The 23,458-nt window shown below is 51.2% G+C and overlaps 2 protein-coding genes across 10 annotated transcripts, besides 6 other annotated features; one reads left to right on the top strand and one right to left on the bottom strand.

Annotated features, from left to right (window-relative positions):
- Positions 1-942: 942 nt before the first annotated feature.
- SNRPD2 (small nuclear ribonucleoprotein D2 polypeptide) lies at positions 943-5,805 on the bottom strand. Of its 5 annotated transcripts, none has more exons than NM_004597.6 (4): positions 5,655-5,805; positions 5,376-5,481; positions 1,876-2,055; positions 943-1,216 (listed from the first exon to the last, which is right to left on the bottom strand). In NM_004597.6, coding segments are annotated over exons 2-4 (357 nt in total). In that variant the 5' UTR covers positions 5,378-5,481; positions 5,655-5,805; the 3' UTR covers positions 943-1,041. The 5 variants fall into 5 exon arrangements, with proteins under 5 accessions (NP_004588.1, NP_808210.2, NP_001356680.1 ...); NM_177542.3 differs by lacking the exon at positions 5,655-5,805 and adding an exon at positions 2,722-2,836; NM_001369751.1 differs by lacking the exon at positions 5,655-5,805 and adding an exon at positions 4,061-4,156 and having other exon boundaries at positions 949-1,216; positions 5,376-5,442.
- Positions 4,978-5,698: an enhancer, noted in NCBI's record as "H3K27ac-H3K4me1 hESC enhancer chr19:46194747-46195467 (GRCh37/hg19 assembly coordinates)". NCBI's record gives its function as "activates a minimal SCP1, AML or CMV promoter by ChIP-STARR-seq in naive H9 embryonic stem cells {active_cell/tissue: H9 hESC(naive)}" and the evidence as "EXISTENCE:reporter gene assay evidence [ECO:0000049][PMID:30033119]".
- Positions 4,978-5,786: a biological region, named in NCBI's record as "H3K27ac-H3K4me1 hESC enhancer GRCh37_chr19:46194747-46195467".
- Positions 5,517-5,646: an enhancer, noted in NCBI's record as "active region_14812". NCBI's record gives its function as "activates an Ori minimal core promoter by ATAC-STARR-seq in GM12878 lymphoblastoid cells {active_cell/tissue: GM12878}" and the evidence as "EXISTENCE:reporter gene assay evidence [ECO:0000049][PMID:35858748]".
- Positions 5,657-5,786: an enhancer, noted in NCBI's record as "active region_14813". NCBI's record gives its function as "activates an Ori minimal core promoter by ATAC-STARR-seq in GM12878 lymphoblastoid cells {active_cell/tissue: GM12878}" and the evidence as "EXISTENCE:reporter gene assay evidence [ECO:0000049][PMID:35858748]".
- Positions 6,155-17,476, top strand: QPCTL (glutaminyl-peptide cyclotransferase like). Of its 5 annotated transcripts, NM_017659.4 has the most exons (7): positions 6,155-6,399; positions 6,902-7,045; positions 8,926-9,207; positions 12,036-12,188; positions 12,290-12,389; positions 15,287-15,403; positions 16,393-17,476. In NM_017659.4, exons 1-7 carry the CDS (start codon positions 6,193-6,195, stop codon positions 16,536-16,538), a joined length of 1,149 nt encoding a protein of 382 aa, NP_060129.2. In that variant the 5' UTR covers positions 6,155-6,192; the 3' UTR covers positions 16,539-17,476. The 5 variants fall into 5 exon arrangements, with proteins under 5 accessions (NP_060129.2, NP_001156849.1, XP_047294953.1 ...); NM_001163377.2 differs by lacking the exon at positions 8,926-9,207; XM_047438997.1 differs by lacking the exons at positions 12,290-12,389; positions 16,393-17,476 and having other exon boundaries at positions 15,287-15,397.
- Positions 6,312-6,862: an enhancer, noted in NCBI's record as "H3K27ac hESC enhancer chr19:46196081-46196631 (GRCh37/hg19 assembly coordinates)". NCBI's record gives its function as "activates a minimal SCP1, AML or CMV promoter by ChIP-STARR-seq in primed H9 embryonic stem cells {active_cell/tissue: H9 hESC(primed)}" and the evidence as "EXISTENCE:reporter gene assay evidence [ECO:0000049][PMID:30033119]".
- Positions 20,419-20,648: an enhancer, noted in NCBI's record as "active region_14814". NCBI's record gives its function as "activates an Ori minimal core promoter by ATAC-STARR-seq in GM12878 lymphoblastoid cells {active_cell/tissue: GM12878}" and the evidence as "EXISTENCE:reporter gene assay evidence [ECO:0000049][PMID:35858748]".

Below are 23,458 nucleotides of genomic sequence, written 5' to 3' on the forward strand. Positions count from 1 at the left end.
TGGGCTTAAGCAATGCTCTCACCTCAGCCGCTGTGCTGGTGGCACTGACTGCGTTCATCACCTGTCTAATCCTCCTGTCTTTCAGGGCAGACCAGAGGCTCCTGGGTACCTGGTGCCCCTGCACTGCAACACAGGGCTGGACACACAGGGGGCATTTGGGGGATGTTTGCTGAAGGAACAAACATAAAGAAAGGCTGAAAGATACACATATATAATTTTTGAGATGGAGTCTCACTCTGTCACCCAGGCTACAGTACAGTGGGGCCATCTCAGCTCACTGCAACCTCCATCTCCGGGGTTCAAGCAATTCTCCTGCCCCAGCCTCCTGAGTAGCTGGGATTACAGGTGCCTGCCACCATGCCCTGTTAATTTTTGTATTTTTAGTAGAGACGGGGTTTCACCATGTTGGCCAGGCTGATCTCAAACTCCTGACCTCAGGTGATCCACCCGCCTTGGCCTCCCAAAGTGTTGGGATTACAGGTGTGAGACACCACGCCCGGCCAGTTTTTGTATTTTTAGTAGAGACAGCGTTTTACCATGTTGGCCAGGCTGGTCTCGAATTCCTGACCTCAGGTGATCTGCCCGCCTCCACCTCCCAAAGTACTGGGATTACAGGTGTGAGCCACCATGCCTGGCCCCAAAAGATACTTTGGTCAAGCGAGGCCAATTCATTATAAGAGGTAGAGAAGAGAGCAACAGAGTGACAAGGAGAAGCTCAGGAAGATTAAAGCAGGAGAGCTAAAATGTTCTCCAGAGCCACAACTGGGCGCTCATTTCCATGCAAACTGTTTGCTTTGCAGATGGAGAAAGTGAGGCCTCGATGGGGCAGAGCCAGGGCCTCTCCACTTGCTCAGGGGTCCTGCTCCCACCATTCAGTCCGATACCAGCTGCCTCCCCCAAGCCCTCCTGAATCCACCCCACTCCCAAGGCTCTGGAAACAGATACCACTAGAAAAAAACACAGAGCTTTATTATTCTCAACACCAATGGCAGCGGTCTTCATAGGACAGAGGAGTGAGTTCTGTCAACAGACAGGCGGCCCCTACTTGCCGGCGATGAGCGGGTTCCGCAGGACCACGATGACTGAGTCCCCGCGCAGGAACATCTTGGAGATGTAGCGGTCTTTGTTGACTGGCTTGGACTTCTTCTTGCCCTTGCCACTCTTGGGTACCTCAGTCCACATCTCCTTCACGTTCTCCAGCACCATGTTGCAGTGCCTGGTGGGGAACAGGGAGGGGAGGCACTGGGCGTGAGGGGCGTGCCTCTGACAGTGCCCCCTACTGCCTGCTGCTCGCCCCCTCCAGCAGCATGGCTTGGGGAAGGGTGCAGGTGCTAGGCCGGGATGACCAAGCTGCCAAAGCAACTCTGCCAGTCCTTAGGTTGAGGCTGAGGCAAAGGACTGCACCTCTCTGTGCCAGTTTGCTCCTTTTTAAGAGGGAAGATAATCACGTTACCTTCCTCACAGGGCCATTGAAAATTATCATTTTCTTTTTTGAGACAGAATCTCACTCTGTTGCCCAGGCTGCAATGCAGTGGTGCGATTTCAGCTCACCACAACCTCCGCCTCCTGGGTTCAGGCTATTCTTGTGCCTCGGCCACCTGAGTAGCTGTGAATACAGGCGTGCACCACCACGCCTGGCTTTTATATTTTTAGTAGAGATGGGGTTTCGCCATTTTAGCTAAGCTGGTCTTGAACTCCTGACCTCAGGTGATCTACCCGCCTTGCCTTCCCAAAGTGCTGGGATTACAGGCATGAGCCACCACGCCTGGCCATACACCCCAGGCTTCTGAGACAGCTGTCTTTGAGCTCTTCAGACTGGAGCTGGAGTGGCCTCTCCAGGCCTGCGGAGAACACCTCCCAGGACCCAGCACTCACCTATCGAAGGCCTTCACGCGGCCCAGGAGTTTCTTATTGTTGCGGCAGTTGATGAGCACTTGGGTATTGTTCTTGACTGACTGTGTGAGCACAGAGAGTGGACCGGTGTTAAATTCCTCCTCCTCTCGCTTCTGCAGCTCCTCTGGGGTCATCTCACTCTTGGGCTTGTTGAGGAGGCTCCTGCATGGACAAACATGGAACCAATAAGTGAGAGAGGCTGGAGTTGAGAGGCTGGAGCTGTGAGGATGGGTGATCAGGGCCTTGGCTTCAGTGTCTCCCCAACCTTGTCCCACCACATCTGTCCTCCTGTTCAGCCTTCTGAGTATCATCAGCTAGATGCCTAACAGACATTTTTTTTTTTTTTGAGACGGAGTCTTGATCTGTTGCCCAGGCTGGAGCGCAGTGATGTGATCTCGGCTCACTGCAACCTCTGCCTCCTGGGTTCAAGCGATTCTCCTGCCTCAGCCTCCTGAGGAGCTGGGACTACAGGCATGCACCACCTCCACGCCCAGCTAATTTTTGTATTTTAGTAAACAGGGGGTTTCACCATGTTGGCCAGGATGGTCTTGATTTCTTGACCTTGTGATCCACCCGCCTCGACCTCCCAAAGTGCTGAGATTATAGGCGTGAGCCACCGTGCCCAGCCAGACATTTTCAACTCTGCATGTCTCAGGTCGGGATCCAGATCACCCAACCACCCAAGCCTACCCTATCTACAGCGTTCCCCATCTGCTTTGATGGTAACTCCATCCTTCTAGTTCTCTGGGCAAAAACTCTTTTGTCAACTTGATTCCTCTTTTTCCCTCACATCCTACATGAAATCTGTAGGAAATGGCCGTTTCTTACCATGGCCTAAGCCTCTGTCATCTCTGTCCTGGAATCTTTCTGGTCTCTCTGCCTCCACCCACGTTCCCTGACAGTCTGTTCTCCACAGAGTGGTCTGAGGGGGTTGTGCTAAAACCTAAATCATAACATGTCACTCTTCAAAACCCTCCCAGGGTATGGGTACAGTGGCTCATGCCTGTAATCCTAGCACTTTAGGAGGTCAAGGTGGATTGATCACTTGATGTGAGGAGTTCGAGACCAGCCTGGCCAACATGGTGAAACCCCATTTCTACTAAAAATACAAAACAAAACAAAACAAAACAACAATAAAAAAAACAACCAACAGAAAATTAGCCAGGCGTGGTGGTGCACGCCTGTAATCTCAGCTACTCGGGAGGTTAAAGTAGAAGAATTGCTTGAACTCAGAGAGTCGGAGGTTGCAGTGAAGTGAGATCATGCCACTGCACTCCAGCCTGGGTGACAGAGCGAGACTCTTGTCTCAAAAAATAAATAAATACAAATTAGAAAATACAAAAATTAGGCCAGATGCGATGGCTCACGCCTGTAATCCCAGCACTTTGGGAGGCCGACGCGAGGTGGATCGCCTGAGCTCAGGAGTTCGAGACCACCCAGGGCAAGATGGTGAAACCCTGTCTCTTCTAAAAATGCAAACAAATTAACCAGGTGTGGTGGCGCATCCCTCTAGTCCCAGCTACTTGGGAGGCTGAGGCAGCAGAAACGCTTGAGCCCCAGCAGCGAAGGTTGCAGTGAGCCAAGATTGCGCCACTGCACTCCAGCTTGGGCTACAGAGTGAGACTCCATCTCAAAAAAAAAATTAGGCCGGGCGCGGTGGCTCACGCCTGTAATCCCAGCACTTTGGGAGGCCGAGGCGGGCGGATCACGAGGTCAGGAGATCGAGACCATCCTGGCTAACACGGTGAAACCCCGTCTCTACTGAAAATACAAAAAATTAGCCGGGCGAGGTGGCGGGCGCCTGTAGTCCCAGCTACTCGGGAGGCTGAGGCAGGAGAATGGCGTGAACCCCAGGGGGCGGAGGCTGCAGTGAGCCGAGATTGCGCCACTGCACGCCAGCCTGGGCGACAGCGAGACTCCGTCTCAAAAAAAAAAAAAAAAAAAAAATTAGCTGGGCATGGTGGCGCATGCTTGTAATCCTAGCTACTTTGAAGGCTGAGGCAGGAAGATCGCTTGAACCCAGGAGACAGAGCTCGTGCTACTACACTCCAATCTGGGTGACAGAGCGAGACTCCATCTCAAACAAACAAAACAAAAGAAAACCCTCCCATCCTCCCCCCATCTCAGTGTAGAAAGTAAAACCCCGACCAGACACGGTGGCTCACACCTGTAATCCCAGCACTTTGGAAGGTCGAGGCGGGTGGATCATTTGAGGTCAGGAGTTTGAGACCAGCTTGGCCAACATGGTGAAACCTGGTCTCTACTAAAAATACGAAAGTTAGCTGGGCATGGTGGTGGGTGCCTGTAATCCTAGCTACTCGGGAGGCTGAGGCAGGAGAATCGCTTCAACTCAGGCGGCGGAGGTTGCAGTGAGCTGAGATCGCACCATTGCACTACAGCCTGAGCAACAGAGCAAGGCTCCGTCTCAAAAAAAAAAAAAAAAAGAAAAAGAGAAAAAGATTTTTCTTTTCCCTTGGGGACTAGAGGTTTCATTCACTGATGTATCCTATGTAGCTTAAGCAGTGTCTGATACATAAGCATTCAATGTAATATCTGCTGCACTAATAAATGCGCAAAATCATGTCAATGACTCGTTCGTTATCCGTGTAAGTTGTGAATCAAGTCGAAAACGCACCCGTCTCCAGCTCAAATGATCAAGATAAGTCCCTTATTTCAAATAATTATTTCTAAAAGTCCTAACTTCCCTCCCCCATTATTCGTTTTATTTCTTTTGTTTCGTTTTGAGATGGAGTCTTACTCTGTCGCTCAGGCTGGAAGTGCAGTGGCGCAATCTCGGCTCACTGCAACCTCCGCCTCCCGGGTTCAAGCGATCCTCCGGCCTCAGCCTCCCGAATAGCTGCAATTACAGGCGCCCGCCACTACGGCCGGCTAATTTTTGTATTTTTGTTAGAGACGGGGTTTCACCACAATGGCCAGGCTGGTCTCAAACTCCTGACCTCAGGTGATCCGCCCGCCTCGGCCTCCCAAAGTGCTGGGATTTACAAACCTGAGCCACCGCGCTCGGCCTCCCCCAGTATTCGTAAAATCGCTGCCCCTTAACATTCATTTCAATAGGACTAATTATCTAGGACCACTCCCGTTATCGTTTAAAACATGTTTTTCATAATTAAATTTTTTTTTTTTTTTGTAGAGACGGGGGTCTCGCTATGTTGCCTAGGCTAGTCTCGAACTCCTGTGTTCCAGCGATGCTCCGCCTTGGCCTACTAAAGTGCTGGGATCACAGGAATGAGCCCCCGCGCCCAGCCCAGGGCGTTATCTGATAAAGCTGTCCCCTCTCCCGAAGTCACGATGCGTCAAAGGCCCCACGCCCGTTCTCAAACTCATCAGGAGAAAAGCAGGACGCTGCATCCCTAAAACATCTGCCCCTGCCCCCCCCGCTCTGCTCAACCCTTCCCACACTCAATCGGTCAAATATCCACCCTCAACCTCATTCCCGCCGCCTAAGCCTAGCCCGGCCTCACATGATGGTCACTACGCTCTCCGTTCACTCCCGTTTCCTCCGCGTTGCTGCTGCCTGAGGAGAGAGAGGCGGGACTTCCTCTTCCTGCGACCCACTTCCGTTGGCGCCTGCGCAAAGCCAACCAGTAAGTGGAGGCGTGGCCTGTTGCCACAGCATTCCCCACCAACGGTGCACAATGATGGAATAAAAGCTTCGGGTAGGGGTTCGCGGCCAGTCAGAACCACACGGGGGCAGATGTTTATGACAATGAAGACAAAAGGAAAGGCAGTCTGATTCAAACCGTTTCTTGAAGAATGGTACAGGTTGAAGGAGGGAAATGACAAGCTATTTCCAAATGCCCGCCGGCCGTGACTTCGGGGGCGCGGCCTCCGTGAAGCCAATCCGCTCCTCGCTTCGGAGACAGGCACCGCCCCTCTTCCCTCTGGGACGCGTTACTGACGTATCTACTGATCTTTCCGACCCTGCGCCACCAATCCCCTGCCTACATCCGGAAGGGGCATGGACCTGCGCCCGGGAGATCGAATATTTTCCATGATCAAACGCTGTTCATTGGCTTTCCCTCCTCCGCTAAGGCGGAGCCTACTTCTCTTGCGCTCCCATTTGGGTCGTGCCATTCTCAGGGGAACCAACCCCAATACCTAAGGGAGGCTGGGAGGCGTGTCCTCAGGACCGTAGTTCTTATTGGTTTCGCTGCTCGCTGTGGGGTGGGCTGGTGCAGCCGCAGCTGTTGCTTATTGGCCCACCGATTCCATGGGGAGGAACTTGGCTGGGCCTAAACTCAATCCGTGGTCTGGTACAGGTTTCAGGGCAAAGCGGCCATGCGTTCCGGGGGCCGCGGGCGACCCCGCCTGCGGCTGGGGGAACGTGGCCTCATGGAGCCACTCTTGCCGCCGAAGCGCCGCCTGCTACCGCGGGTTCGGCTCTTGCCTCTGTTGCTGGCGCTGGCCGTGGGCTCGGCGTTCTACACCATTTGGAGCGGCTGGCACCGCAGGACTGAGGAGCTGCCGCTGGGCCGGGAGCTGCGGGTGAGGCTGGGCGGGGACCCGGGCACCGCGGGGACCCTCATTCCCTCCCCGCTGTTACCCAGGGTTGACGTGGCTTTAGCGTACGGCCCTAACCGCAGATGCCACCGTCTTCGTCATCTGAGCGCATGACCCTTACCAAAGGAATAAGGCTTCGGGCTGGTTCTGCAACAGTAGCTTCCTTTTAAGAGGAAAGGTCTGAAATAGTAAGACGGGGGGGTTCAGGGTTCTACGCCTTTAGTCAACTATTTGGAAGAGTCCCTTCCTCCATCTCCCCTCTCTCTCACTGGGCCTCGATTTCCCCATCAAGTTTGAGGTAGGCTGGACCGGATGGTCTTGGAAGGACTTTTCCTGAGCCTTGGATTTATCCTAGAAGTCTCCGATGCTGGAGGCGGCAGATTAGGAAGAGAACCCGGGGCTCCTCGCGGGTGACGGCGCCCGGGGTAGGGTTGAAATGGGGGGGTTGCTCTCATTCTTCCCTTCCCTATCCCACCTCCTTCCCAAGGTCCCATTGATCGGAAGCCTCCCCGAAGCCCGGCTGCGGAGGGTGGTGGGACAACTGGATCCACAGCGTCTCTGGAGCACTTATCTGCGCCCCCTGCTGGTTGTGCGAACCCCGGGCAGCCCGGGAAATCTCCAAGTCAGAAAGGTAAAGGGACCCACCTCCAGTCCCTGACCCCCTAGCCCTCCAGGGAATGGGAAATAAGAATCCTGTTCAAGATCCCAAAGAAGCTAAGAGGAGGAACTGGGGCTCTGACTGGAGTTAATCGGACTCTAGACTCCATGCTGGTAACAAACCACCAGGCTGTACTGCCCCCCTTAATGCCCCCACCAAAAGCTTACTGTGTGCTAGGCATAGGCAACAGACAGCCCTATAAGGTGGGTACCAATATGATCTTCATTATGCAGATGGGGAAACTGAGGCTCAGAGAGGTTATACACATTGCACAAATCCTACAGATAATAAGTAGTAGACCTTAGCCGGGTGCAGTGGCTCATGCCTGTAATCCCAGCACTTTGGGAAGCCAAGGTGGAAGAATCACCTGAGAAGTTTGAGACTAGCCTAGTCAACCTAGTGAGACCCAATGTTTAGAAAATCATAGACCTAGAGTTGAACCCAAACAGGTTGGCTCCGAGCTGGTGCTGTAATGTATCTGTTGTCTTCCAGAAAGCATGAAGAGTCATTTAAAGGCCAGGCGCAGTGGTTCACACCTCTAATCCCAGCACTTTGGGAGGCCGAGACAGGCAGATCCCTCGAGATCAGGAGTTTGAGACCAGCCTGGCCAACATGGTGAAACCTCATCTCTACTAAAAATACAAAATTAGCCAGGCGTGGTGGTGGGTACCCGTAGTCCCAGCTACTTGGGAGGCTGAGGCACGAGAATCACTTGAACCCAGGAGGCGGAGACTGCAGTGAGCTGAGATTGCGCCACTGCACCCCAGCATGGGTGACAGAGCGAGACTCCATCTCAAAAAAAAAAAGTCACTTAAATACTGCCTGAGTCCCAATGCTACCTCATCCACTTAGATTGTGACCTTGGACTGGTTTCTTTTTTATTTTATTTTATTTTATTTTATTTTGAGATGGAGTCTCACACTGTCGCCTGGGTTGGAGTGCAGTGGCGCGATCTCGGCTCACTGCAACCTCCACCTCCCAGGTTCAAGCAAATCTCATGCTTCAGCCTCCTGAGTAGCTGGGATTACAGGTGTGCACCACCATGCCTGGCTAATTTTTTGTATTTTTAGTGAGACGGGGTTTCACCATATTGGCCAGGCTGGTCTCAAACTCCTGACCTTATGATCCGCCCACCTCAGCCTCCCAAAGTGCTGGGATTACAGGCGTGAGCCACCGCGCCCGGCCTGGACTAGTTTCTTAACCTCTCTGAGCCCATTTCCTCATCTGTAAAATGGGGTCATGTATTGGCAGTCCCTCCCCTAAATGGTTCCTAGAAGAGGGCTTAGCACACAGTGAGAGCTATTTAAGGGTAAGCTGTGATGAGTCTTGCTGGCTTCAAGAGGTGGGGTCTCCCCAACATCTGGCACCCAGTAGGTACTCACCAGCACTGTCAAGGGAATGATTTTAATCAGAGTAGGGGGCTGGGCACAGTGGCTCACATCTGTAATCCCAACACTTTGGGATGCTGAAGCAGGCAGATCACTTGAGGTCAGGAGTTCGAATACCAGGCTGGCCAACATTGTGAAACCCCATCTCTACTAAAAATACAAAAAATAGCCAGGCGTTGTAGGGGGCGCCTGTAACCCCAGCTACTCAGGAGGCTGAGTCAGGAGAATCACTTGAAGCCAGGAGGCAGAGGTTGCAGTGAGCCAAGATCAAGCCACTGCACTCCAGCCTGGGTGACAGAGCAAGACTCCATCTCAAAAAAAAAAAGAAAGAAAGAAAGAAATCCATTCAATCAGAGTGGGGCTTTAGTGTCAACCCATCTGCTCTGCATGGCTCAGGTCACGTGGCCCTTCTCCCCACCTCCTCCCCAGTCCCCGTCCACCCTCCCACCTCTCTCTTGCCGCTAGTTCCTGGAGGCCACGCTGCGGTCCCTGACAGCAGGTTGGCACGTGGAGCTGGATCCCTTCACAGCCTCAACACCCCTGGGGCCAGTGGACTTTGGCAATGTGGTGGCCACACTGGACCCAAGGGCTGCCCGTCACCTCACCCTTGCCTGCCATTATGACTCGAAGCTCTTCCCACCCGGATCGACCCCCTTTGTAGGGGCCACGGATTCGGCTGTGCCCTGTGCCCTGCTGCTGGAGCTGGCCCAAGCACTTGACCTGGAGCTGAGCAGGGCCAAAAAACAGGTGAGGAGCAGGAGTCGGGGAGGGTAGTGGGCTACCTCCACCTTTTCCCAAGCCCCCACCCTCCCTTGCCTGGACATTTGTCATCCCTCTCGTCTTCCCACTCTACTCCACGCACAGAGCCACAGGGATCTTTTTTTTTTTTTTGAGACGGAGTTTCGCTCTTGTTCCCCAGGATGGAGTGCACATGGCGAGATCTTGGCTCCCCGCAACCTCTGCCTACTGGGTTCAAGCAATTCTCCTCCCAACCTCAGGTGATCTGCCCACCTCGGCCTCTCAAAGTGCTGGGATTACAGGCGTGAGCCACCGCGCCTGGTCATCACAGGGATCTTTTTACCTTCTAGATGTCAGATTCTCTTTCCTCTCCCCCAAACCCTCCCAGGGCTCCCGCCTCATTCCAGCCATAATCCAGAGTCCTTATATTGGCCCACGAGCTGTGCCCTGTTACCTCTCCAGCCTCATCTCCCACCCCTCACCTCTTGCTCACTCTGCTGTAGCCACCCCCACCTCCTCTGGGTTCCTCAAACCCGCAGAGCTTGCTCCCACCTCAGGGCATCTGCACTTGCTGTTTGCTTTGGATAGAATGTGCTTTTCTGGCCAGGCTCCGTGGCTCACACTTGGAATCCCAGCACTTTGGGAGGTTGAGGTGGGTGGATCACAAGGTCAGGAGTTCAAGACCAGCCTGGCCAACATGATGAAACCCCATCTCTACCAAAAACACAAAAATTAGCCAGGCTTGGTGGTGCACACCTGTAACCCCAGCTACTCGGGAGGCTGAAGCAGAGAATTGCTTGAACCCGGGAGGCGGAGGTTGCAGTGAGCCAAAGTTGCACCACTGCACTCCAGCCTGGGCAACAGAGCGAGACTCCATCTCAAAAAAAAAAAAAAATTATCTGGGAGTAGTGGCATGCTACTTGGGAGGCTGAGAGGGGAGGATGGCTTGAGTCTAGGAGTTTGAGACTGCAGTGAGCCATGATCGTGCCACTGTATTCTAGCCTGGGTGACAGAGACCTTGTCTCTTAAAAAAAAAAAAAAGAATATGCTTTTCATAGATATCTTCCTGGCTGGCTCCCACTCTTCACTCAGGTGTCCACTCCAATGTCACCCCTTCAAAGAGGCCTTCCCGGCCGGGCGTGGTAACTCGCACCTGTAATCCCAGCACTTTGGGAGGCCGAGGCAGGCAGATCATTTGAGGTCAGAAGTTCGAGCCCAGCTTGTCCAACAGGGAAACCTCATCTCTACTAAAAATACAAAAATTAGCTGGGTATGGTGGTACATACCTGTAATCCTACTACTTGGGAGGTTGAGACAGGAGGATCACTTGAAACTGAGAGGCGGAGGTTGCAGTGAGCCGAGATCGCACCACTGCACTCCAGCCTGGATGACAGAGCGAGATTCTGTCTCAAAACAAACAGAAAAGAAAAACACAGGCCAGGTGCGGTGGCTCACACCTGTAATCCCAGCACTTTGGGAGGCCAAGGCAGGTGGATCGTGAGGTCAGGAGATTGAGACCATCCTGGCTAACACAGTGAAACCCCGTCTCTACTAAAAATACAAAAAGTTAGCTGGGCGTGGTGGCGGGCGCCTGTAGTCCCAGCTACTTGGGAGGCTGAGGCAGGAGAATGGCGTGAACTCGGGAGGCAGAGTTTGCAGTGAGCCGAGATCGCGCCACTGTACGCCAGCCTGGGCGATACAGCGAGACTCCGTCTCAAAAAAAAAAAAAAGAAAGAAAAAAAAGAAAAGAAAAGAAAAACACAGATTTAATCATGCTCCTGCCCTGCTTAACCCCTCTCTGTGCCTCCCCAGTGTCCCTATAACAAAGCCCACACTCCTTGGCCCTTGCTAAACCTTCCGTACCCCTCTCAAACCTCTGGGACCCCTTCCCTGGCCATAGCCTTGCCCTGTGTTGCTCCCTTGGCTGGGAATACTCTTCCTCCTGCTCCATTTTGCCAGGCCAGTTCCTACCCATTCTCATGGCAAACATCCCTTCCCAAAAGACCCAACGCCCTCTCCAGGCCAGGTCATCCCCCAGCCTCCTTCCTATGCCCTCTCAGGACTCTATAGTTCTTAGAAGCATTTGTCTCAACTGCATTTCACTGTTTGTATAATTATTCATTTGTGGATCTATCTGGTTCACCAAACTGAGCTTGAGGAATAATAATCAGAGATAACCCTTATTTAGTTATATGCCAGGCACTGTTCTAAGACCTGGATTCAAACCTTACCCTTTGAAAAGAACTGTTATTGCCGGGCGCGGTGGCTCACATCTGTAATCCCAGCACTTTGGGAGGCTGAGGTAGGTGGATCATTTGAGGTCAGGAGTTCGAGACCAGCCTGGCCAACATGGTGAAAGCTTGTCTCTACTAAAAATACAAAAATTAGCCAGGCATGATAGCGGGAACCTGTGGTCACAGCTGTATGGGAGGCTGAGGCAGGAGAATCTCTTGAACCTGGGAGGTAGGGGGTGGAGGTTGCAGTGAGTCAAGATTGCATCATTCCACTCCAGCCTGGGTGACAGAGCAAGATTTATTCTAAAAAAAACAAAAAACAAAAAAAAAACAAAAAACCTCTTATTAACCCCATTTATAGATGAAGAAACTGATCCTTCCAGAAGTTAGTAACTTCCCCATGCCTGCTTTGTTATGAAGCAGCCAAGTACGGATTTGATCCCAGACAACTGACTCGGAATCTGTGCTCTTGGCTACCACGTTCTATGAGTGAGGACACCTTATGTGTTCTCTTAAGCATGCAAGCGGGCAAGAAGTGTGGGTATGTTGAGGCTGAGGGCTAGTCCTGAGCTGGCTCTGGCCACCCCCCTGCTGCTCCCACAGGCAGCCCCGGTGACCCTGCAACTGCTCTTCTTGGATGGTGAAGAGGCGCTGAAGGAGTGGGGACCCAAGGACTCCCTTTACGGTTCCCGGCACCTGGCCCAGCTCATGGAGTCTATACCTCACAGCCCCGGCCCCACCAGGATCCAGGCTATTGTAAGACCAGGGTCCCCTGGCTTCTGGCGAGGGAGGGAGCAGGTTAAGCAGGGCTGGCGTCATCCTGCACGGGCCCCTCCAGTCCTAGCCTTTCTCCTTAGGAGCTCTTTATGCTTCTTGATCTCCTGGGAGCCCCCAATCCCACCTTCTACAGCCACTTCCCTCGCACGGTCCGCTGGTTCCATCGGCTGAGGAGCATTGGTAAGGGTGAATGCGGAGGTGGGCCCCAGCCCACCTGGGGTATGGGGTACAGGGCGGTGGGCTGGGGTAGGACAGGCACCTACACTCTAAAGGCTCATCCACCAGTCTGGGCCACATAGGGAGACCCCATCTTTTTTTTTTTTTTTTTTTTGAGATGGAGTCTCGCTCTGTCACTGAGACTGGAGTGCAGTGGCATGATCTTGGCTCACTGCAACCTCCACCTCCCAGGTTCAAGCCATTCTCCTGCCTCAGCCTCCCGAGTAGCTGGGACTACAGGCGCATGCCACCATGCCCAGCTAATTTTTGTATTTTAGTAGAGACAGAGTTTCACTATGTTGGCCAAGCTGGTCTTGAACTCCTGACCTCGTGATCCGTCCACCTCAGCCTCCCAAAGTGCTGGGATTACAGGCGTGAGCCACCGTGCCTGGTGACCCCATCTCTTAAAAAAAAATTAGCTGGGTGCAGTGGCATGCACCTGTCATCCCAGCTACTGGGGAGTATCCTTAGAGCCTGGGAGGTCAAGGCTATAGTGAGCCAAGATTGCGCCACTGCACTCCAGCCTGGGCAACAGAATGAGATCCTGTCTCAAAAAAATAAAAAATAAAAATAAAATAAAGGCTGGGCTTGGTGGCTCACACCTGTAATCCCAGCACTTTGAGAGGCAGGTGGATCACTTGAGCTCAGGAGTTTCAGACCAGCTTGGGCAATATGGCGAAACCCTGTCTCTACAAAATAAAAACAAACATTAGGCCAGGCGCGATGGCTCACACCTGTAATCCCAGCACTTTGGGAGGCCAAAGCGGGTGGATCACCTGAGGTTAGGAGTTTGAGACCAGCCTGGCCAACAGGGCGAAACCCCATCTCTACTAAAAATACAAAAAGTTAGCTGGGCGTGGTGACATGTGCCTGTAATCCTAGCTATTCGGGAGGCTGAAGCAGGAGAATGGCTTGAACCTGGGAGGCGGAGGTTGCAGTGAGCCGAGATCACGCCACTGCACTCCAGCCTGGGCAACAGAGCGAGACTCCATCTCAAAAAAAAAAAAAAAAAAAATTAGCCAGGCATGGTGGCACCTGCCTGCAGTCCCAGTGACTTGGGAGGCTGAAGTGGTAGGATCACTTGAGTCTGGGAGGTCGAGGCTGCAGTAAGCTGTGATCACACCACTGCACTCCAGCCTGGGGACAGAGTGAGACTCTGTCTCAAAAAAAAGTAATAATAAAAATTAAAATTAAAAAAATTAAAAATTGTTTTTAAAAATAAAGGCTTGGCTGGGCGCAATGGTTCACGCCTGTAATCCCAATACTTTGGGAGACTAAGGTAGGTGGATCACAAGGTCAGGAGTTTGAGACCAGCCTGGCGAATATGGTAAAACCCTATCTCTACTAAAAATACAAAAATTAGCTGGGTGTGGTAGCGTGTGCCTGTAGTCCTAGCTACTCCGGAGGCTCAGGCAGAAGAATCGCTTGTACCTGGGAGCACAGGTTGCAGTGAGCTGAAATTGTGCCACTGCACTCCAGCCTGGGTGACAGAGCGAGACTCTGTCACTAAATAAATAAATAAATAAACAAATAAATAAATAAGAAAATAAAATAAAGGCTCACCCAGCCTTTCCTCTACCTCCCTAGCCTTTCTAAGGAACTAGAGATTAGTAATAGTGATTACCAGACAGGGGCTCTAAGGTGAGACAGCCGTGGTTTCCAATCTTACCAGCTGGATGAACTTGGACAAGTGGCTTCATTTCTTTGAGCCTCAGTTTCCTATCTGTAAAACGGCCAGTGGGGGCCGGGCCTGGTGGCTCATGCCTGTAATCCCAGCACTTTGGGAGGCCGAGGTGGGCGAATCACAAGGTCAGCAGTTCGAGACCAGCTTGGCCAATATGGTGAAACCCCATCTCTACTAATAATACACAAATTAGCTGGGTGTGGTGGTGGGCGCCTGTACTCCCAGCTACTCAGGAGGCTGAGGCAGGAGAATTGCTTGAACCCGGGAGGCGGAGGTTGCAGTGAGCCGAGATTGTGCTACTGCACTCCAGCCTGGCGACAGAGCAAGACTCTGTCTCAAAAAAAAAAAAAAAAAAAAGGCCGGAGGGCCCAGACATAGTGGCTCATGCCTGTAGTCCCAGAAATTTGAGTGACCAAGGCAGGAAGATCACATGAACCCAGAAGTTTGAGGCCAGCCCGGGCAACACAGGAAGATCCCATTTCTACACACACGCGCACACACACACACACACACAATTACCCAGGCATGGGGGCATGCGCCTGAAGTCCTAGCTATTTGGGAGGCTGAGACTGAAGGATCACTTAGGCCAGCGAGATTAAGGCTGCACTGAGCTGGGATTGTCCCACTGCACTCCAGTGTGGGTGAGAGAGCAAGATCTTTTTTTTTTTTTTTGGAGACAGAATCTTACTCTGTCACCCAGGCTGGAGTGCAGTGGTGCAATCTCAGCTCACTGCAACCTCCACCTCCCAGGTTCAAGCAATTCTCCTGCCTCAGCCTCCCAAGTAGCTGGGATTACAGGCGCCCACCACCACACCCAGCTAATTTTTGTATTTTTAGTAGAGACAGGGTTTCACCATGTTGGCCAAGCTGGTTTCGAACTCCTGACCTCAGGTGATCCACCTGCCTTGGTCTCCCTAAGTGCTGGGATTACAGGCATGAGCCACCACACCAGGCCACAAGATCTTGTCTCAAAAAAAAGAATGTCTATGTCTTAGACTCTGAGGGATTGAATGAGACCAGGAACATAGTGAGCCCACAGGAAGGAGTAACTGGCATTCACTCTTGTTGGGCTGACCAGGGCTTTGTCTCTGGGTGCTCTGCCTTCCTCTGATTTGTGGACTGGGGACCTTCGACTACTAAGGACTAACCCTTCCTCTCTAATCGCCCCCACTTCCAGAGAAGCGTCTGCACCGTTTGAACCTGCTGCAGTCTCATCCCCAGGAAGTGATGTACTTCCAACCCGGGGAGCCCTTTGGCTCTGTGGAAGACGACCACATCCCCTTCCTCCGCAGAGGTACCAGCTGCAGGGAGGGATGGAGGGTGGGTGTCCAAGGAAGCCACAAATTGGAACTGGCCAAGTCCCCTTCCCAGGGCTGGGGAATGGTGCTAAGTGGCCTTAACCTCTTTGTGCTTTGATTTATTCATCTGTAAAATGGGGATAATACTCCCTATCTTAGAGTATTGTTGAGGGGATTGAACATGCTAACACCGGTAAAGACCTTACTTGGACCAGCACCCAGCACATAGCAAGCATTCCAGAAATGTTTGCAGCTGGGCACGGTGGTTCACAGCTGTAATCCCAGCACTTTGGGAGGCTGAGCGGGGTGGCGGGGGGGGATCCTTGAGCCCAGGAGTTTGAAACCAGCCTGGGCAACATGGCATAAATCTTGTCTTTACTAAAAATACAAAAAAATTAGCCGGGCATGGTGGTTCACACCTATAGTCCCAGCTACTCGAGAGGCTGAAGTGGGAGGAGCACTTGGGCCTGGGAAGTCAAGGCTGCAGTAAGCCTTGATTGAGCCACTGCACTCTAGCCTGGACAACAGAGGGTGATGATATCTCAAAAAAAAAAAAAGTGCCAGGCTGGGCATGGTGGCTCACACCTGTAATCCTAGCACGTTGGGAGCCTGAGGCGGGCAGATCACCTGAGGTCAGTAGTTTGAGACCAGCCTGGCCAACATGATGAAACCCCATCTCTACTAAAAATACAAAAATTAGACAGGTGTCGTGGTGCCTGCCTATAATCCCAGCTACCCGGGAGGCTAAGACGGTAGAATCGCTGGAACCTGGGAGGCAGAGGCTGCAGTGAGCCGAGATCACGCCACTGCACTCCAGCCTGGGCGACAGAGTGAGACTCTGTCTCAAAAAAAAAAAAAAAGTGCCAGAACATAGTATCTTTCACCAGTGTGTGGTGGCAAGGCAAGGTTACCTAGAGGTTGGGCTTGGGCTCCTGGGTTGTGGTGGGCTGCAGTGGACCTGACAAAGTCTCCTCTGTCACTTCAGGGGTACCCGTGCTCCATCTCATCTCCACGCCCTTCCCTGCTGTCTGGCACACCCCTGCGGACACCGAGGTCAATCTCCACCCACCCACGGTACACAACTTGTGCCGCATTCTCGCTGTGTTCCTGGCTGAATACCTGGGGCTCTAGCGTGCTTGGCCAATGACTGTGGAGAGGACTGTGAGAGAGAAGGTCCCAGCGGGGGCCAGTGAAGCTCAGGCAGGATCTGCCTAGGGTGTGCTGGTTTGTCCTTTTCATACCTTTGTCTCCTAATTGTGCTACAATTGGAAGACCTTCTTTCTTTTGATTGTCTCAAGCTGCCACCCTTCAAGGACAGGGAAGAGACCACTGTGGGATGACAGCCAGAGGAATAAGAACTTGCTCCCTCCCCAGAGGTAAACACTTGGTCCAAAGGTTTGCAGGGACCAAATACTGTTCTTTTTTTTTTTGAGACGGAGTCTCACTGTGTTGCCCAGGCTGGAGTGCAGTGGTGCGATCTCGGCTCACTGCAAACTCCGCCTCCTGGGTTCACGCCATTCTCCTGCCTCAGCCTCCCAAGTAGCTGGGACTACAGGTGCCCGCCACCACGCTGGCTAATTTTTTGTATTTTTAGTAGAGACGGGGTTTCACCGTGTTAGCCAGGATGGTCTCGATCTCCTGACCTTGTAATCCGCCAGCCTCGGCCTCCCAAAGTGCTGGGATTACAGGTGTGAGCCACCGCACCTGGCAAAATGCTGTTCTTTAAGTCAGCGAACTGAAAAAGTAAAAGACTGCTGGGTGTGGTGGCTCACACCTGTAATCCCAACACTTTGAGAGGCTGAGGGGGAAGGATCACCCGAGGTCAGGAGTTTGAGACCAGCCTGGTCAACATGGCGAAACCCTGTCTCTACTAAAAATACAATAATTAGCTGGGCATGGTGGTGGGCGCCTGTAATCTCAGCTGCTTGGGAGGCTGAGGCAGGAGAATCACTTGTACGCAGGAGGCGGAGGTTGCAGTGAGCCAAGATCACACCACTGCACTCCAGCCTGGGCAACAGAGCGAGACTCCATCTCAATAAATAAATAAATAAATAAATATTTTTTAAAAAGAGTAAAAGACTAAAAGACTATTACTGGTCTGGCCCAGTGATGCCACCCAGCTAGATGAATTCTCTGTGGTTTGTGTTGTGTCAGTTCATTCTCCAGAACAGCAGCCTTGCTACTGCACCAGTCCTAACCTAACTCCCACACGGGGCACACAGAGGATGTCCTCATAACCAGGCACAGAGGAGACAGAAGCTCATATTTTGGAAGTCCAGATTCTTCCAGACCCAGTGGGTAATAAGCCATTGTTTCTGGCTGGGCATGGTGGTTCACACCTGTAATCCCAGCTCTTTGGGAGTCAGAGGCAGAGGGATAGCTTGAGCTCAGGAGTTTGAGACCAGCCTGGGCAACAGAGCATGACCCCATTCTCCAGAAAAAAGAAAGAAAAAAAAAAGCGTAACCAATGTTTCTGCAAAACACCACCTGCATAAGCCAGGTGTGGTGGTGCACACCCTGTAGTCTCAGCTATTCAGGAGGCTGAGGTGAGAGAATCCCATGAACCCAAGAGTTCAAGACCAGCCTGGGCAACACAGTGACACCCTGTCTCAAAACAAACACCACCACCACCAACAACAACAAAAAAGGCCATTCTGTAGAACTCGTGTAAATAGACATTGCATGACAAGGGGGATCTGAAATCCAAGAAGAGGGTGAGACAACATAAAATGAGTTTCCTCACTGCATCATGTGAATTTTTAAGACAGAACCCAGAGGCTCCCAAAGTATTTCACTATGGAACACTTTTTATTGGGAAGCACTTCATAGAACTAGGATACTTCGGCCGGGCATGGTGGGTCACACCTGAAATCCCAGCACTTTGGGAGGCCGAGGCCAGCAGTTCAGCTGAGCTCAGGAGTTCGAGAGCAGCCTGGACAACATGATGAAACCCCATCTCTACTAAAAATACAAAAATTAGCCAGGTGTGGTGGCATGAGCCTGTAATCCCAGCTACTTGGGAGGCTGAAACAGGAGAATTGTTGGAACCTGGTGGCAGAGGCTACAGTGAGCCAAAATCACGCCACTGCACTCCAGCCTGGGCAATAGAGCGAGGCTGTCTCAACAAACAAACAAAATACAACAACAACAAAAAGAACTAGGATACCTCAGAAGGTACTTTGGAAAACATGGGGTTTTGAAAGTCTGAGAGCATCTATGAGAGGAATGGGTAAGACAGATCTAGATTTACCGCAGAGTAGTTAGGGCACACTGTCTTTCCCCTTCAGCTGTTGGTACAGCACTGTGAGATGGCAGTGTAACTGCAAACTCCAATGAGCAAGTATTTCCCAACCCTACCTAATTTTCAGACTCAGCTGGGGTGCTCATTAAAAAATGCAGACTGGGTGCAGTGGCTCATGGCTGCAATCTCAGCACTTTGAGAGGTTGAAGTGGGAGGATCACTTGAGCCCAGGAGGTTTTTCTTTTTGAGGCGGAGTCTCGCTCTGTCACCCAGGCTGGAGCGCAGTGCTGCAATGCTGGCTCACTGCAACCTCCGCCTCCCGGGTACGAGCGATTCTCCCGCCTCAGTCTCCCAAATAGCTAGGACTACAGGTGCGTGCCACCACGCCTGGCTAATGTTTGTATTTTTAGTAGAGACAGGGTTTCACCGTGTTAGCCAAGATGGTCTCGATCTCCTGACCTCGTGATCCGCCTGTCTCGGCCTCCCAAAATGCTGGGATTACAGGCGTGAGCCACCGTGCCTGGCCCACGCTGTCCTTAAGGAGACACTTTGGTGCATACACAGCTGCTCAGCAAACCGACTCAAAAGAAAAACCTGAGACAGATGGCACCTGGAAGCAGTCCTACGCTGTGTAGGTGAGCATCTGCCCTCCAAATCAGCTCCAGGGCTGAAACTCGGGGTATCAAATGAGAGGATAAACATAGGTCCTCAATTTAGGTTCTTCCACATTCGCTGACATTTATTGAGCATCTACTATGTGCCAGGCATCATGAGAACTTTTTTTTTTTTTTAAGATGGAGTTTCGCTCTTGTCACCCAGGCTGGAGTTGCAGTGGCACAATCTCGGCTCACTGCAACCTCCACCTCCTGGGTTCAAGCGATTCTTCTTCATCAGCCTCTGGAGTAGCTGATTACAGGCATGTGCTACCATGCCCAGCTAATTTTTGTATTTTCTTGGTTTGGGGGAGAGAGTCTTACTCTGTCGCCCAGGCTGGAGTACAATGGCGAGATCTCAGCTCACTACAAACTCCACCTCCTGGGTTCAAGCGATTCTCCTGCCTCAATCTCCCAAGTAGCTGGGAATACAGGCACCTGCCACCATGCCCTGCTAATTTTTGTACTTTTTAGTAGAGATGGGACCATGTTGATCAGGTTGGTCTTGAACTCCTAACCTCAGGTGATCCACCTGCCTCGGCCTCCCACAGTGCTGAGATTACAGGCATCGAGCCACCATGCCTGGCCAATTTTTGCATATTTAGTAGAGATGAGTTTTGCCATGTTGGCCAGGCTGGTCTTGAACTCCTGACCTCAGGTGTCCACCCGCCTTGGCCTCCCAAAGTGCTGAGATTACAGGCGTGAGCCACCGTGCCCAGCCCATGAGAACTTTTTTTTTTTACATATACAAAACTATGTAGTCTCCCTGACTACAAATCCTGAAATAGGTACAATTTCAGTTCTCATTTTGCAGGTGAGGTGGCTGAGACTGAGAATTGCAAACGAGTTGTGTATGGTGTGCAAATTTTCACTCACAGCTGTGCTCGCAACCCCCATGTCCTATCTCCCTTCCAAAAAGTACCTGTGGCTGGGTGCGGTCACTCACCCCTGTAATCCCAGTCCTTTGGAAGGTTGAGGCAGGAGGACTGTTTGAGCCCAGAAGTTCCCGACCAGCCTGGGCAACAAAGACCCTGTCTCTACAAAAAAAATTAAAATTAGCTAGTATGGTGCCTGTGGTCCCAGCTACTTGGGAGGCTGAGGCAGGAGGATCTCCCGAGCCCAGGAGTTTGAGGTTACAGTCAGCTATGATTGTGTCACTGCACTCCGGCCTGGGTGACAGAATGAGACCCTGTCTCAAAAAAATAAAAATAAAAATACCCCAAATACACCCCCACCACTACCAAAAAAAAAAATACACTTGTGCCAGATGAAATTTGTTAAGAAAAAGTATCCATAGAATTTTAACTTTAATCTGCTTTATGCAGATTTTTGGCTTGAATCTGGGGTAAGAACTGTTAGCCCTGTTGTACAGATGAGGCTGCTGGTGCCTGGCAAGTTCCCGCAGCCAGCAAACCCTTTTATCTTTTTTTTTTTTTTTTCTAGACAGAGTCTCGCTCTGTCGCTCAGGCTGGAGTGCAGTGGCACGACCTCAGTTCAGTGCAACCTCTGGCTCCCGGGCTCAAGCAATTCTTCTGCCTCAGCCTCCCGAGTAGCTGGGACTACAGCCACACGCCACCACGCCCGGCTGATTTTTGTATTTTTAGTAGAGACAGGGTTTCACTGTATTGGCCAGGCTGGTCTCAAATTCCTGATGTCACAATCCACCGCCTCGGCCTCCCGAAGTGCTGAGATTACAGGCATGAGCCACTGTGCCCAGCCTTGCATTTTTCATTTGTAAAAGTTATGTCAGTGGGTTTTTTTTCCCTTTCCTACCTACTAGGCCATTTTGATTTTTTTTTTTTTTTTTTTTTTTAGTTTTGGCTTCCTTGCTGATAATTCCAAGCTTTTAAAATTTTTAAACAGTTTAAAATAAATTTTGTATTATAATCTGTGATTGACAGTTTCATCATGTGAAGCCTATGTGGGTGTTTTTGTTGTTTCTGCTGGTTCTTATTCATATTATTTCCATTTGTTTGGTTATTTGTGTACTACTCATTACCTGAAAAATTATTTGTGGTGGGCTGGGTGCGGTGGCTCACACCTGTAATCCCAACACTTTGGGAGACCAAGGCGGGCAGACTGCTTGAGGTCAAGAGTTCAAGACCAGCCTGGCCAACATGGTGAAACCCCATCTCTACCAAAAAAAAAAAAAAAAAAAAAAAAAAATTGCTGGGCGTGGTGGTGGGTCCCTGTAATCCCAGCTACTTGGGAAGCCTAGGCAGTAGAATCGCTTGAACCGGGGAGGCGGAGGTTGCAGTGAGCTGAGATTGTGCCACTGCACCGTAGCCTAGGCAACAGTGAGACTCCATATCCAAAAAAAAAAAAAAAAAAAAAAAAAAAGCCAGGCGTGGTGGCTCACACCTGTAATCCCAGCACTTTGGGAGGCCAAGGTGGGTCAGGAGTTCAAGACCAGACTGGCCAACATGGTGAAACCTTGTCTCTACTAAAAATACAAAAAATTAGCCAGGTGTGGTGGTGCGCACCTGTAGTTCCAGCTACTTGGCAGGTGAGGCAGGAGAATCACTTGAACCCAGGAAGCAGAGGTTGCAGTGTGCCGAGATCGCGCCACTGCGCTCCAGCCTGGGCAACAAGAGCGAAACTGCATCTCAAAACAAACAAACAAAAATATTTGTGGGGCTTCTAGATGACAGTTCCTTCCACAGGTGGACTTGTGTTTGTTTCTGCCAGACATGTCAGCTAGAAGTACCCTGTATCACACAGGACGTGAACCTGGCTGCGAACCTGTGCCGAGGGCCAGTCTGTGACCACAGATTATCAGAATCTTTCTTTTTTTTTCATTTGATTTCTGCCTCTTGAATACCTCTTCAGTCTTCCGGGTCATCCTTACCTGAGCTTGTAGCTCTCTGGAATCCCAGTTCCTGCAGTTGCTCACTGTGGGCTGGCTTTGGACTTGACTTTTGCCTGCTCCTTCCAGTAAGGCTGCCAAGTAGGAAACCCCAGTGTGTCCACATCAGCAAACACCCTGAGAGCAAATGTGGCTTCAGAGCCCCACATATCATTCTTTTTTTTTTTTTTTTTTTTTTGAGGCGGATTCTTGCTCTGTCTCCCAGGCTGGAGTGCAGTGGCGCAATCTCGGCTCACTGTAAGCTCCGCTCCCCGGGTTCACGCCATTCCCCTGCCTCAGCCTCCCGAGTAGCTGGGACTACAGGTACCCACCACTACACCCGGCTGATTTTTTGTATTTTTAGTAGAGATGGGGTTTCACTGTGTTAGCCAGGATGATCTCGAACCGCCCGCCTTGGCCTCCCAAAGTGCTTGGGATTACAGGAGTGAGCCACCGCGCCCGGCTCCCACATATCATTCTCTTAACTATTTGGCGTGGTGGGTCTTTACTGTATTTTATTGGCTATTTGATCCTTTGAAGGGCATTTTTTTTTCAGTTGTTCTCAACAGGAAGGTCCGAATAATCTAACTCACCCTCCCCACAAGATTCAAACCCAGGTCTTATTGATTCTAAAATCTAAGCATTGAATCACTACCATAATGTATCCTAGTCCTCTGGAAATTCTGATTTCCGGAGAAGAATGTCAGAGACTTAGCTGCCTCTCAATATCCATTTTTCCCTTCCTTTAAACTGAAAATTTAAGATATCCAGCTGGGCGTGGTGGCTCATCCCTGTAATCCCAGCACTTTGGGAAACTGAGATGGGTGGATTACTGGAGGCCACGAGTTCGACAGCAGCCTAGACAACGTGGTGAAACCCCGTCTCTACTAAAATACAAAAATTAGCCAGCTGTGGTGGCGAGTACCTGTAATCCCAGCTACTCAGGAGGCTGAGGCAGGAGAATCATTTGAGCCCGGGAGGCAGAGGTTGCAGTGAGCCGAGATCACACCACTGCACCCCAGCCTGGGTGACAGATTGAGACTGTCTCAAATAAATAAATAAAAAATTAAGTGGCTATTTAAAAACTTTAATTACAGGGATTTTTAGTAAAGAGTGTTTTGTTGGGCATATTGCACCCAGCTAAAAGACTGCATTTCCTAGACTCATGCAGCCCTTCTGTGGCTAAGTCTGACGGGTGAGATGTATATAGAAGCATAGTGTAGTGCTTCTGGGAGGAAGGGGGCCTCCCTTCCAGCAAAATGGTGATAGTAAAAGCAATATAATCTTGGCTGGGCATGGTGGCTCACTCCTG

This window comes from Homo sapiens, chromosome 19, assembly GCF_000001405.40.
Source record: "Homo sapiens chromosome 19, GRCh38.p14 Primary Assembly".
Taxonomy (NCBI): Eukaryota; Metazoa; Chordata; class Mammalia; order Primates; family Hominidae; genus Homo; species Homo sapiens.